General features: G+C 39.5%; 1 protein-coding gene across 5 annotated transcripts in view; it reads right to left on the bottom strand.

Moving 5' to 3' along the window:
- CAPRIN1 (cell cycle associated protein 1) overlaps nt 1–15859 on the bottom strand; it is a 50880-nt gene that overhangs the window by 17616 nt on the left and 17405 nt on the right. For all 5 annotated transcript variants that reach the window (NM_005898.5, NM_203364.3, XM_047426960.1 and 2 more), the window contains 7 exons: nt 13207–13269; nt 13008–13094; nt 8521–8759; nt 8353–8435; nt 5230–5367; nt 2118–2170; nt 1954–2040 (listed from right to left, as the gene is read on the bottom strand). In NM_005898.5, coding sequence (NP_005889.3) covers nt 1954–2040; nt 2118–2170; nt 5230–5367; nt 8353–8435; nt 8521–8759; nt 13008–13094; nt 13207–13269 — 750 coding nt within the window. The remainder of the gene's footprint in view (nt 1–1953; nt 2041–2117; nt 2171–5229; nt 5368–8352; nt 8436–8520; nt 8760–13007; nt 13095–13206; nt 13270–15859) is intronic.

The following is a 15859-nucleotide window of genomic DNA, read 5'->3' as shown; positions in this document are numbered from 1 at the left end:
TCGTGGAATCTCATGTGGATAGCCTTTAGAAAGGCCCACCTACTAGATACAAAGAACAAACCACACTGGCACAGTGGCAAGTAGTATGCTCTTCTCAAATAAAATCCAAAAAATACTTAACTACAAAGCACTGTATACTGCTTCCCAACTTCTTCCTACTATGTCAATATTTACCTTGCATTCTATGTTCAATAAAACAAATATGTTAATAGTTCATTTCTACTTCTACATCCATGCTATACATCCCTATTACCTGGCTCCCCTAAAAACATACATCCCATCGACTTAGTCAAGGCTCAATGGGTTTGTACACCTCATATATACAGCTGACATTTGAACAACATGGGCTTGAACTGCACAGGTTCACTTATCCTCCAGTACTCTTGAGATGTGAAACACCTGTATATATGTGGGTCCCGCAGATACATGGCACAACTTGAGTATGAGCAGACTTCGGTGTGTGGGAGTGTCCTAAAACCAATGCCCCTGGTATAACAAGGAACAACTGTAAATCACCTCTACTAATCTTTTTGATTGATTTCTCTTCTAATCCTCCTATAACATTTCTGAACTGCATTCTTTAATTCAGCAAATATACACTATTTTGTTGGGACTTCCTGAGCAGTATTTTCATCCCAAGTACCTTTCTGGGGTAAGTGCCTACTCTCTTTACCTTACCAATGGGACATTTTGGTGCTCCAACAGAGGGATGAAGTTGCTGGCACAATTATAACATCTATGGGCCAGGCGCAGTGGCTCATGACTGTAATCCCAGCACTTTGGGAGGCTGAAACGGGCAGATCACTTGAGGTCAGGAATTCAAGACGAGCCTGGCCAAAATGGTGAAACCCCATCTCTACTGGGCAAGAGTGAGACTCTCAAAAAAAAAAAACTTTGCAATCTCTTTGGAAAATGGGTTTTTTTCTTCTTGAGACAGAGTCTCTGTCAACCAGGTTGGAATGCAGTGGCACGATCTCAGCTCACTACAACTTCTGTCTCCCCAGTTCAAGTGATTCTCGTACCTCAGCCTCCCAAGTAGCTGGGATTACAGGCATGCACCACCATGCCCAGGTTTTTGTTTGTTTTTGAAGTAGAGACTGGGTTTCACCATGCTGGCCAGGCTGGTCTCTAACTCTTGGCCTCATGTGATCCACCTGCCTCAGCCCCACAAAGTGCTGGGGTTACAGGCATGAACCACCGTGCCCGGCCAAGAGAATGGTCTTGATATAAGAATAACATATTAAAAGGAAAAGCATATTACCCTCAGCTTACAGCTATTTTCCTGCACCTTGGGGGTGTAAAGAAAGACATCTAAAAGAAGATCAAAAGGAAGGCCAGGACCAGTTGGTAAGGTTTTTAGACTGTATCTTACAGGTAACAAGGCATCACTGAGAGCCTCAAGTACAAGTAACTTAAAGCTAACTTTTCCAATAATTAAGTTGTGACAATGAATAGGATGGTCTGGAGGCAGTCAGAGAGGAGTAATATGAAGAGAGTCACTGAACTAGACATGAGGACCCGAAAAAAATCATCATTATCAGTTGAGAGACAGCATTAGAAAACGCTAGAGGAAGTCTACAGCCTGGTGACCAAACAGCATTAGGGTAAAGGAGGAGTGCAAGATGATACCCCAAAACACAGCTATCAGTGTGGGAGCCCAGATTTTTACAGAGCAACCTAATTTCAGTAAGAGACAAATCATGGTAACAGATTAATCCACAGATAACTTTGTATAAAATAATTTTTTTAGATTGGTTCAGCAAAGCAGGGATCCTATTAAACATCCACAGGGATAAACATTCATTTTTTGGAAGTAACAGTCTGGTGTAATGAGTCTGTTATTATAATAAATGTACTAATAATGCAAAAAACAATCTTAATTTGTTCTCAGTAGAGATAAAAATTACTAACTGAAGACAAAGACAACAACTTTGCAATACAGAGAACTCTTACCTCAACCGTTTCAACTGTCCACTCATCTACCTGCTCCTTTTCACCACTGGTGAACTGTGTTTCTGCCATGAACTGTCTATTTACATACTGCAAAGCAAAGTAAATGTTTGAGACATTTGTTTGAAAGGCAGCAAAGTAAAGGCAGCATTAAATTAAAATCATACCTCTGTTGATTCAACTTCACTTTGCTCAGTGTACTCTTCTGCTGGCTCAGGTTCTAAGAGGTTAAAAAATGGTGCAAAACAAAAGGATTTTTAGGTCAGTGATACTACTCTACTCTGTGTGATATTGGTAGATACACGTCATTATGCATTTGTCCAAACCCAGAGAATTATTAACAATAAGAGTAAACCCATATGTAAACTATGGACTTTGGGTGATAATAATGTGTCAGTTTGGGTTTATCCATTGTTAACAAATGTACCACTCTGGTTGGGGGGATGCTGACAATGAGGGAGGCTGTGCATCTGTGAGGGTAGAAAGTAAATGGGAAATCTCTACACCTTCTGTTCAGTTTTGCTGTGAGCCTAAAACTGCTCTAAAAAATAAAGTCGGCCAGGCACAGTGGCTCATGTCTGTAATCCCAGCACTTTGGAAGGCCAAGACAGGTGGATCACCTCAGGTCAGGAGTTCGAGACCAACCTAGCCAACCTGGTGAAACCCCAACTCTACTAAAAATGCAAAAAATTAGCCGGGCATGGTGGCGGACGCCTGCAATCCCAGCTACTCAGGAGGCTGAGGCAGGAGAATCGCTTGAACCTGGGAGATGGAGGTTGCAGTGAGCCGAGATCAGGCCATTGTGCTCCAACCTGGGAAACAAGAGCAAAACTCCATCTCAAAAAATAAAAATAAAAAATAAAAATAAAGTCTATTTTTAGAAATGATGCCATAAAGTGTAATAAATCTTTTTTAAAGTTAAGAATTCAACTAGGCCAGGCGCGCTGGCTCACGCCTGTAATCCCAGCACTCTGGGAGGCCGAGGTTGGGGGATCACCTGAGGTCAGGAGCTTGAGACCAGCCTGGCCAACATGGTGAAACCCCGTCTCTACTAAAAATACAAAAATTAGCCAGACATGGTGGTGTGTGCCTGTAATACCAGCTACTGGGAAGGCTGAGGCATGAGAATCGCTTGAACCCGGGAGGCAGAGGTTGCAGCAAGCTGAGATCGCGCCACTGCACTCCAGCCTGGGTGACAGAGTGAGACTCAGTGCCCCCTGTCCCCCACAAAAAAGAATTCAACTTAAGGCCGGGCATGGTGGCTCACGCCTATAATCTCAGGACTTTGGGAGGCCAATGTGGGCAGATCACTTGAGGTCAGGAGTTTGAGACCAGCCTAGCCGATATGGTGAAACCCTGTCTCTACTAAAGATACAAAAAAAACTGAGTCAGGTGTGGTGCCATGCACCTGTAATCCCAGCTACTCGAGAGGCTAAAGCAGGAGAATTGCTTGACCCTTGGAGGTGGAAACTGCAGTGAGCCAAGATCATGCGACTACACTCCAGCGTGGGCGACAGAACTAGACTCTGACTCAAAAAAAAAAAAAGGCTGGGCACAGTGGCTCATGCCTGTAATCCCAGCACTTTGGGAGGCCAAGGCGGGTGGATAACCTGAGGTCAGGAGTTCGAGACCAGCCTGACCAACATGGTGAAACCCCATCTCTACTGAAAATACAAAAATTAGCCTGGTGTGGTGATGCGCCTGTAGTCCCCACTACTCAGGAGCCTGAGACAGGATAATCGCTTGAACCCGGGAGGCAGAGGTTGCAGTGAGTCAGGATCACACCACTGCACTCCAGCCTGAGTGACAAACAGAGACTGTCTCAAAAAAAAAAAAAAGAATTCAACTTAAATTCCAAATAAGTAAATAGTTTGCCATCACATAATCTGAATTTACTTACAAACTTATTTATAAAGTTAATTAACAGTGTTTTATATTTTAGAAAGTTTTCTTTACCATTTATTCCAGAATTACTTTAGGTTCAACAGTAGCTATTTCAGATAATGTATAATGCAAATAAAGAGCTACTATATTAAAAGCCCTCTCCCGTCTCATAAGTAGTAGTATGAAGCAGCATACAGATTAAAAATCTTACTTTACTTAGTAAAGTGGTAAGAGGGGGAAAAAGATTGCCTTATATTAATCTCCAACTATTAACTCCACCAATGTACAATCTTCACTTCTAGTTTCAACCTACTAGCTACCAGTTACTAAGTGCTTACCACGTGTCAGGCACTGTATACACACTTGACATATTTTCTAAACGGGGAACCTGAGGTACAAGAGTTTCATTAACTTGCCCAAAGTTACAGAGCTAGTAAGTGTTGAAGCGAAGATTTAAATTCAGGCACTCTGATTCTAACAAAACTTATGCTCCAATGTTTCCTTGTATTCAGAATTTTACTCATCAACATAAGAGTTATCATAAAAGTATTCACAGTTAAGTGTCTAGCTATATAATTAGTGTTGTGCTACATGATAAAATTAACTGGAAAAGACCCCTTGCCTTGGAGGAATTTATAGTTCAAGATTATGGAGCTATAATCTCCCCATGATTAAAACAAAACAAAAGCAACTCATACTATTCCTCCAATGCACTGGCATAGTAAATAGCAAATCTGGGCATGTCAGACAGAAACCTATTTGAAAATCCTTGTAACAGCTGGCCCTCACCCATACTCCTGCCCATCAATACTACTGCAAAAGAACTATCTATCAGTTTATAATAGTGATCAAGACTAGTAAGACAAATGACTACTAAGACAAATATAATGAATACTGGTAGGAATTACTCTTGATAATCTGTCTTAACATTTTGTCAAGGCCGGGCGCAGTGGCTCACGCCTGTAATCTCAGCACTTTGGGAGGCCGAGGCGGGTGGATCACGAGGTCAAGGGATCGAGACCATCCTGGCCAACACAGTGAAACCCCGTCTTTACTAAAAATTCAAAAAAATAGCCGGGCGTGGTGGCGGGCGCCTGTAGTCACAGCTGCTCAGGAGGCTGAGGCAGGAGAATGGCGTGAACCCAGGAGGCGGAGCTTGCAGTGAGCCGAGATCACGCCACTGCACTCCAGCCTGGGCAACAGAGCGAGACTCTGTCTCCAAAAAAAAAAAAAAAAAAAAAAAAAAAAAAAAAAACTTTGTCATGCTTAAAGTCTCTTTAAAAATAAAATCTAGTGTACATATATGAAAACTAAGTAAGTGTATAGTTTAAATTTGTAGCAAAATCAAATAAAACCAGGACCCTAAACTAAAGTTGATATCCACCTAATACTCACCAGCTTCAGGTACCTGGTCTTCAACTGCAGGTGCTGAGGCTGCCTCTTCTTCCTCACACAGCCCATTCTGGTGGTTGTGGGTGCTGTCAAAGTAGTTTGACTGAAAAACACGCTCAACAATTTCCTTTAGAACTTTATCTAAGAAAAAGAACATGAATTATAATGTAAGACTTATCTGAGGATGCCTGGCTTGAAGAAGATCCAACATTCTATAAAATATTGTGATTAAAAAATAACTGTTACTAAAACACATATACACATAAAAAGATTACATTTCACCAAGAACAGAAATGTATTACAGAATGATAGGGAACAAGAAGAATGTAGTTATATTAAACTTTACGGGGTTTTTGTTTGTTTGTTTTTGAGATACAGTCTTGCTCTGAAACCCAGGCTGGAGTGCAGTGGCGTTATCTCAGCTCACTGCAACCTCTGCCTCCCAGATTCAAGCAATTCTTGTTCCTCAGCCACCCAAGTAGCTGAGATTACAGGCGTGTACCACCACGTCCAGCCAATTTTTGTATTTTCAGTAGAGGCAAGGTTTTACCATGTTGCCTAGTGAAGGTCTGACCTCAGGCGATATGCCCACCTTGGCTTCCCAAAGGGCTGGGATTAACAGGCATGAGCCACCATGCCCGGCCTGAACTTTATGTATTTTAAGTAAACTAGTTAGGTGGAAAAAGATGACATTTAACATTTATTCATTCAAAAGTATTTATTCAGCACCTACTACACATTAGACAATATGCTAGGCACTGGGAAAACAAAAAGTTATGTAAAGACACAATATATCCCCTCAATAAGCTTATGGTCTAACAGAAGTGGTATCAAATACAACTACAAAAAACTTACATCTGTGAAAAGTACTACACAGAACTACAATGGACTGGACCCAATCAGAGTGAGGCCACAAAAGGTTTCCCTAGGTAAGTGCTACAAGAGTTGAAATCCAGAAGAGTAGAGGGGAAGAAGTGTTTCAAGGGAGAAGAAAGAGCATTACAAAGTCCTATACAAAAGATGTCAAATACAAGAAAAGGAAAGGAAGCCACTGTGGCTAAAATACAGGGAATAAAAAACAAGCATAGGGAAAGATGTGGCTGGAGAAACTGGTAAAGGCCAGACCATGAATGTCCTTGAAGTTAAGGACAAACTTATATAAAATAAAACTGAGATGAAGCCACTAAAGATTTTAAAGAGGGAGAGGGGTGGACTCAGTTAAGCAACTGCGTCAGACAAGAGAAAGGTATAAAAGTAGAAGAGAAAAAAGTAGACAATCGAAAGATATTCAAAAACAAACAAAAACTATCAGAATTTGGTGTACCAGGGTATTTTTTAAAAGTGCAGGGCAGAGGGGGAGATGTATGAAGAGTTATTACTTTCAATTTTCTTAGCTTGTGTATTATTAATAGATACATAGTAGGGCCACTCCCCGATAGGTCACTGTGAAGAAAAATAAAACTTTGAGGACCATATTGTATCAAAAGCATTGGGAAATTAATCTTAATAAACTACCAACAACTCTTTAGATAATGAACACTTCATATGTTTTCCTTATTTCACTTCAGCGGCTCCTGGCTCAAAACTGTTTTCAAAAAGTTATAGATACAAATCAAATGTACATAAAAACACTAATTTGGGTATATTAGTACCTTCCCATTATAAAGATTAGTACCTTTCCATTGTAAAGATGTTACATTCCTAAGATGTGGGAACAAGATTAGGTAGAAAATAACCCCAAAACAAGCTATAAGCTTAAAGGTTTAATAACACCTTTGTTACTCTTCAACAATGCTCATGAAAATCTGATGAAGCTTGACCTAAAACTACTTTTTTAAGTTAACAAGCTTATACATATAGAACTTGCAGAACTAAAAGCAAAAGGGTAAACACATATTGTACAAAGAAATACAGACCAGAGTAAATGTTAACAAACCAAGAAAATTATTTCTTAAATGAAGAAAGGACAGACAAGGACTGGCACCCATTTCCTTAAAGCAAATATACTCTTCTAAATTTTGCCAATTAAAGCTCATACCATTTTGGTGATTAAAGCTTATAATCCAATCTGATTTCTTTTCAACCAATAGCTAAAAATGCATAAATACAGATACTTTCATTTTATGTTCAAAAATCTACCTTCCTAATGCAACCTTATAAATGGCAAAGATAAGAATCTATTCCCTGATTTCACAGAAGGCTAAAAACGTAAATTCCTATACTGAAGGAGTGAAACGTAAATGTCCCTTTTTAAAAAAATCAGTTCACAGTTGCATGTTTGAGAATAAGGAGCTCACAAAGAAAACTAGACCAAGTATCAGCATATTTTAAATACAGAAAAAAATTAACATCCTCAAATTAGCAGATGTCTAAGACAAACTAAAGAAAAACTAAGGCAATAACCATGAGCAGAATGTATGAAATGCAATAATTGTTTCACAAAACTTCAGCCATAAAACAAACAGTCCCTATCTATTACCAAAAGCTGTGGAAAGTCAATCTAATGTTAATCTGTCCACCTCAAACACAGTTAAGTTACATACAAGACCATGTGAAGTTAGGACTATCATATTCCCAGTTTTAGTTGTTTGTTGCTGGTGTTCTGATTTCCACATTACAGATTAAACATACAAAGAAACAAAAAAGAAATAAACCAAACAGTAAATAGCAGATGAATGCTATGTATACATTTCTAAATTTTATTCAATTAATATTAATTTTAAATAGGAAAACTAGCTGGGCGCAGTGGCTCACACCTGTAATCCCAGCACTCTGGGAGGCCCAGGCAGGTGAATCATTTGTGGTAAGGAGTTCGAGACCAGCCTGGCCTACATGGCGAAACCCTGTCTCTACTAAAAATACAAAAAATAGCCAGGCGTGGTGGCGCATGCCTGTAATCCCAGCTACTTGGGAGGATGAGGTGATAGAAATCACTTAAACCTGGGAGGCGGAGGTTGCTGTGAGCTGAGATCACACTACTACACTCCAACCTGGGCAACAGAGTAGACTCTGTCTCCAAAAAAAAAAAAAAACTAATTTTTTTCTTCCAAGTGAACTATAAACATAAGAAAATTAGTTTTTAAAGATTCCTAGTTATAAAATCAAAGTTATCACAGTGATACTCACAGGTGGTTCCACATACAGGTTTTTCCTTCCCTTCCAGCAGGTCCCACAGGTGAATGGAGGCATGTTCATACTGTTCATTCAACCTTTTAATAGTAAATAGCTAATTAATAACCTTTCAGTTGTCAACTTAAATACTCAGAAGTTTCTATTATCAAATACCACTAATACCTCAAGCTCATGTCCCGTTCAGGGTCTACTAGCTTATAGAATTCATCCAACAATGACAACTCCTCTTCGGACAATATTGGCACTCCATTCAAACCTTGTTTCAGGTCAGTCCGCACTTCATCATCTCCCAATTTGTCCAAAACATACTGTAGCTCAAGTACAGTTTTTAAACGTTTCTGTTCAGCTTCTTCTCTCATAAGCTGCTCCCGACGTGCTGTCTTCTTTATTGTTTTCTGAATCTGCAAAACAATATAAAAGTAAAACACCAAAATTAGTTATATAAAACTTAGTTCAATCCATTTCAGGTCCAGCTTAAATAAAACATGTTTTACTCAATGAGTGAGATATGACCTCAATACACAAAAGGATGATTCCTGACTTACAAATAGTTTTAAACATAATCTATTTTAAGCAATTGTTAAAAATTCAGAACAGCTCTTTCCCTAGAAGGTATTTTACTACTGAACTATTACTGATGAAACAATGTGTTTGGGGCTTGTTTGAAAATAATCTAGAGGGCAAAGGGAGCAAGGAAATGAATGTGGATTTATATGAAATACGATTGACCATGAGATGATAAATATACAAGCTGGGTACAGGTACAAAGAGTTTCATTGTATTGTTTTCTTTAGTTAGGTATATATATCTGAAGTTTTTCATTATGCATATAAAAAGTAAAAATTTAATGAATTTAGAAATTATACAGAAATGTAAAGGCCTAGGCCAATTAAAAAAGAAACCCAACCACAGCAACAATAAAAATCTTACCTCAATCTAGCTCCTCTATGGGCAAATGACCCAAAGTTCTAACTTTGAGTATCTACTAATGACTCACAAGGAAATGCCAAAAACCCACAAGGGCCCCTTTGTCCCAAATAATCCGCTGCCAGTCTCAGAAAGTTATTCCATCTTACTGAAAAGAGTGCCTAATTTGTTTTTATGAATAAGATGATGCTGGTGGAGAAAAATAGATAAAGCTAAGTATGAATGTATTTTTCCCACATTCCTTTTTTTCTTTCCTGGAAAGGCTGAAAGGAAAGCATCAGCCAAACTCAATTATTCCTCTCCCTCTCCCGTGTATCTAACATGAGGTTGGGAATAGAGGAAGGCTAGTCTTCTCAAAAGCCATGGTAGTGCTTTCCTTTCCACCTTTTCCCCCTTCTCAAGCCTCACTAGGATGAACCAAGACACAGAAAACCAAAATAGGGACATATGAAACCTATACTAAAGGGAAAAATGGGGAAGGAGACCTGGGAAGAATGATGAAGGCTGCAAGAACAAGACAAATCTATAATGGTAACAGAGTGTGCAGAATAAATATCTTAGCAATAAATGGCAAGTGATAGCTACAGTGAGCTGAGATCATGCTACTGCACTCCAGCCTGGGTGAAACAGTGAGACTGTCTCAAGAAAAAAAAAAAAGTCTTTTTTAAAAAAATAATTTAAAAAAAGTTTTTTGAGGCAAGGTCTATGTTTCCAAGGCTGGTCTTGGGTCTTGAACTCCTGGCCTCAAGCGATCCTCTCACCTCAGCCTCCTTAAAATACTAGGATTACAGGTATGAGCCACCATGACCAGCCAGGAAGGTGTTTTTTGTTTGTTTTTTGAGATGGAGTCTCACTCTGTTGCCCAGGAGTGCAGTGGCACGATCTTGGCTCACTGACACCTCTACTTCTCGAATTCAAGTAATTCTGCTGCCTCAGCCTCCTGGGATTACAGGTGTGTGCTGCCAAGCCCGGCTAATTTTTGTATTTTTAGCAGAGACAGGGTTTCACTATGTTGGCCAGGCTGGTCTCGAACTTCTGACCTCAGGTGATCCACCCACCTCGGCCTTCCAAAGTGCTGGGGTTACAGGCGTGAGCAACCACACCCTGCCCAGGAAGGTCTTTATAGGTAGGTGGAGGCAGGAAACACAGGAAGAGGGACAGGAATATGAAAGGAAGTTAACAAAGCAAAAGAAGATAAGAAAGAAAGCTATTCTGTATGAAATGAACAGTTCAAGAAGGAAAAAGGTGAAAAGGTAGGCTGGAGCCAGGCTAAAGAAGTTCTTGAATGCTAAACAAAAAGCATGTTTAATAATTGTGTACAGTATACCAAAGGATCAAAGATAAATAACAGCTCTGCTAATGAAGTTAAAGCTCAGAGAAAGGTCCTGAAAATACCAGTGTTACAAGAGAAGCAAAAAAGGATACAGGTATTTTCATTACACAGTGATAGTAACTTCCAAAATAGATGTTACATTAAACTGTATAGCAATCCTGCTTCTATTTTAAAAAAGCAAGAAAAAGAAATTGGGCAGGGTTCATTAAGCTAAGTGGAATAAATCTCTCCTTTGGTGCTATGGTCTGAATGCATCCCCCTAAAATTCAAGTGTTAGAAACTTAACCCTCCCAACGCAATAGTGTTGGGAGGGTGGGCCTTTTGGGAGCTATTTAGAATGAATTAATACTACTATAAAAAGAGCTTGCAGGAGTATGATCACTCTCTCTTGCCCTTAAGCCTTCTACCACCAGGTGAGGACACAGTAATGCAACAAGATGCTGGTACCTTGATCTTGGACTTCCCAGCATCCAGAAGTGTGAGAAACAAATTTCTGTTCTTTATATAAATTATCCGGTCTCAGGCATTCCATTATAGTAACACAAAGTTGACTAAGACACTAGGTACAAAATTAAATTACTTTTTTTGTTTTCAGCAAAGATTTTCCTTCCCTGATCAGATGTAATAAGTAATTCTAAGATTAAGTAATTGAAGCTAGGCACGTTGGCTCACACTGTAATCCCAACACTTTGGGAGGCTGAGGCAGGCCGATCATCTGAGGGGTCAGGAGTTTGAGACAAGCCTGGCTGACATGGTGAAACCCCATCCCTACTAAAAATTAGAAAATTAGACTGGCATGGTGGCGCAGGTCTGTAGTCCCAGTTACTCAGGAGGCGGAGGTTGCAGTGAGCTGAGACAGCGGCACTGCACTCCAGCCTGGGCGACAGAGCAAGACTCTGTCTCAAAACAAGACAAACAAACAAAAATGATTAAGTGCTTGAAATATATTAGTTATGCATCAAATACTGTTCTAAGCACAACCGTATGAGGTTATTATTACCACTTTACAGATTAGAAAACCGAGGCACTGTGATGGCCTCTGCCCATCAGCCCCCTTTCTATCCTATTGGATCTGTTTCTCTGGAAAACCTTGACTAATACAAGAACAGTGAAATTAAGTAACTCATCCATGGTCAAACTACAAAGTCAAGTCACAAAATTAGGATTCAACTGGGCAGTCTGTTTCTAGAATCTGATCTCTTAATCCCTACACTGCATTGTCTCATATAATAAACTTTTTTGTTTCAGCAAATTAGAGGCAACTTTACATAGTCACACATTACTTAACAAGGATACATTCTGAGAAATATGTCAGTAGGGAATTTCCTCATTGTGCAAACATGGAGTGTACTTACACGGCCTAGATAGTACAATCTACTACACACCTAGGCTATGTGGTATAGCATATTAGCTCCTAGACTACAAATGTGTACAGCATGTTACTGTACTGACTACTGTAGGCAACTGTAACACAGAGGTATTTATATATCGAAACACAGAATAGGTACAGTAAAAATACAGTATTACAATGTTATGGGACCATCATCATATATGTGGTCCAAAGTTGACTGAAACATCATTATGGAGTACATGCCTGTATTTCAATGTTATTAGTCTTCTCCAAAGAAGATGACACTTATTCAGATGGCTTAATTTTCTGGCCTCAACAAATTATCTGACTTTGCTTGCATTTAACTTTTGTCCTTATTCCCAAAGGTTTTTGTCACATCAAAAACCCACTATTAAGTTGGATCGAGTGCTGATATAGGAGCACATCAGTTTGCCATACCCCTTAAGGTTCCTAAAGCAGAGAATAATTACCAATTATATAAACGAGCCTCTTTATTTTCTGACAGTTTAAATTGTGAGTCATTAGACATAAGGAACATGATAAATAAAAAACATTTATGTATTTCTAATGACTATCTGATTTTTATGTATTTGCAGAGCTAACATTTTAAACCAATGAGACCTTTAGCATAGCTACTATACATGGTTGTCAAATCTCAAACTTGGTCCTTTTAAAAAAATTTTTAAATTTAATGTTTTTTTTTTTTTTTAGAGATGGGGTTTTATCACGTTGCCCAGGCTGAAGTGCGGTGGCTATTCACAGGAACAATCATATGCACCACAGCCATGAACTCTTGGCCTCAACCTATTGAGGAGCCAGGGCTACAAGCACATGCCACCGCCCCCAATTTCAAACTTAGTATTTTTAAAAGACATCTTTCAGGTGTTACATTTTACTTTACAGAATGTGAAGGCATCTTAGATATAATTGGATACAACTGTCTCACCTTGCAGAGAGCTTATCAATAGTAATGGAAGGACTAAAACCCAAAGAAACAACAAAAGTATTTCATAAATATGTATACTTTCTTTTACTTACATCTTGACTTAGTGCCATGAAACTCCTCTGTAATTCTTTTGCAAACTCCAAATTATTTGTGACTTCCTGGTACTTAGAAACGGCATCCTAAAATGACAAAGAACCCAAACTTTACTGGAAAGACAAAAAACCACAGAATTAATTTTTGTCTTTAAAATAGTGAGCATTAGGTCTAAAATAAAAAATATAACATCTTTACCAGCTGATCTTGATTAAGCCTTTCCCCTTTGTTCATTCGTTCCTGGTAATCATCAAGCTTACCCTATGTTAAAAGAAAAAAAAGAATTACATTCCGTTTTGAAGGTATATACCAGCTTAAGCATGCTTGACAAAACCCTCACAATCCTCTAAGTTTGTCTCAAATTTTGACTTAAATAAACTTTTAAGATATATTCCAGTTTAAGTACATAAATTTTTTTTTTTTGAGACAGAGTTTCGCTCGTCACCCAGGCTAGCGTGCAATGGCACGATCTTGTCTCAATGCAACCTCTGCCTCCCACGTTCAAGCTATTCTACTGCATCAGCCCCTAAAGTAGCTGGGATTACAGGCACTCACCACCACGCCCAGCTAATTTTTTTGTATTTTTTGTAGAGACAGGGTTTCACCATGTGGCCAGGCTGATCTCAAACTCCTGACCTCAGGTGATCCACCTGCCTCGGCCTCCCCAAGTGTTAGGATTACAGGCATGAGCCACCGCGCCCAGCCTAAGTACATAAAACTTTTTAGATATACTCCAACCATTGCTGAATGATATCAAAGGCTGTACTGTAAACCAATGGCACAACATTATTCATTCTTTAGCTTAATCAAGAAAGAGTATTAGATGGACTAGGCATATGGCTCCTACCCACATGGGTAAGGGCCACAATTTGGTTAGGATCCTGCTTATACCCAAGTGAGCATATCAGACATTTATCAAGTTAAATTTTTGCCTCTCCCTCTCCCCAAAGAATTCATGTGACTAGGTGATATAAGAGTATTTTTAGGCTGAACACGGTGGCTCACACCTGTAATCCCAGCACTTTGGGAGGCCAAGGTGGGCGGATCACCTGAGGTCAGGAGCTCGAGACCAGCCTGACCAACATGGAGAAACCTCGTCTCTACTAAAAATACAAAATCAGCTGGGCATGGTGGTGCATGCCTGTAATCCCAGCTACTCAGGAGGCTGAGGCGGGAGAATCACTTGAACCCAAGAGGCAGAGGCTGCGGTGAGCCGAGATCGCACCATTGCACTCCAGCCTGGGCAACAAGAGTGAAATTTTGCATCCAAAAAAAAAAGAGTATTTTTTCGGGCCAGGCACGGTGGCTCCTGCCTGTAATCCCAGCATTCTGGAAGGCCAAGGTGGGTGGATCATTTGAGGTCAGGAGATTAAGACCAGCCTGGCCAACATGATGAAACCCCATCTCTACCAAAAAACACAAAAATTAGCTGGGTATGGTGGTACGAGACTGTAGTCCCAGGTACTTGGGAGGTTGAGGTGGGAGAATCACTTGAACCCTGGAGGTGAAGGCTGCAGTTAGCTGAAATAATGCCAAAACTCCAGCCTAGGCGACAGCGTGAGATGCTGCTCCCCACCCCAAGGGGAAAAAAAGTATTTTTTTTCTGAATAAACTCATGGGCATATTGTCTTTAATGTACTTCATCCATTTATCTTGAACAAGATAGCTACCACCTCACTAATACACAAGTCAACAGCTTTGCTTTGTTAGTTCAAGGGTGAGGACAGAAAACTAACATCTGGTTTAAGATCCCATTTTCTTGCTAAGATTAAAACTTTGCAGGTTTCCCAGGCTACTATTAAGTAAGACCCCACAGATATTCAGGTAATGCAACAGAGTCACAAACTATTATTATTGTAAAGGTCAAGAGGACAGTGAATGAGGATAAATCTAAATTAACAGGACAACACTTAATCCCAATAAATTATGAACATACATAGTTCCTTACCCCCTTACCAATAATAAAATTGTGAAACAAAGTACAAAGTTAAATTCTAATAAAGGGCATTCAGAAACCACAGAAGCCAGTTTAAAAGCAATGGTAATAAGTTTTGTTTTTTCTTTTTTTTTTTTTTTTTTAGGTCAAATGATCTATTTTCTTTGTACCATAAACAAATGTCAACTTGCCTAGCCATTCTACCCCAAATTGAAAACCCTACCACAATTCCTTCCTAACACTGGAGGTAAATAAAACCAAGATAATCACTAAGACATTAAAGGCTTTTAATAGTACCCAATTTTATTATTAGATGAACTATTTCACACCATCTATAAGCCTCCAAATAAACAGGTATAAAATTTCAGTCTACTGATTTGAGGGAAAAAAATTTTTTTTTACACTGATATGACAGACCTGACCCCAGGTGCAGAAGATGTGTCCAATTACCTCACAAAATACTCTGAGGATCAACAGATAGTTCATTCTCTTTTTTAAAAGGGAAGAAAAGGGAAGACTCATAAGCTTGGGAAGCTAAAAATTTTTAAAATAAAAAATTCTATTTGCTTAAAGGGTAGGCTATTTTTAAGAAATAAAAAACTAGACCAGGCCCGGTGGCTCACACCTGTAATCCCAGCATTTTGGGAGGCCAACGTCGGCAGATAACAAGGTCATGAGTTCAAGACCAGCCTGGCCAACACTGTGAAACCCCGTCTCTACCAAAAATACAAAAATTAGCCAGGCATGGTGGCGCGCACTTGTAATCCCAGCTACTCAGAAGGCTGAGGCAGGAGAATCGCTTGAACCCGGGAGGCAGAGGTTGCAGAGAGCTGAGATCATGCCACTGCACTCCAGCCTGGGACAAAGCGAGACTCCATCTTAAAAAAAAAAAAAAAAAACTAAATAAGTTTTGAA

The sequence above is a fragment of the Homo sapiens genome, chromosome 11 (genome assembly GCF_000001405.40).
Source record: "Homo sapiens chromosome 11, GRCh38.p14 Primary Assembly".
NCBI lineage: Eukaryota > Metazoa > Chordata > Mammalia > Primates > Hominidae > Homo > Homo sapiens.
The sequence above is the reverse complement of the archived record's forward strand: the minus strand, read 5'-3'. Positions and strand labels throughout refer to the sequence as shown.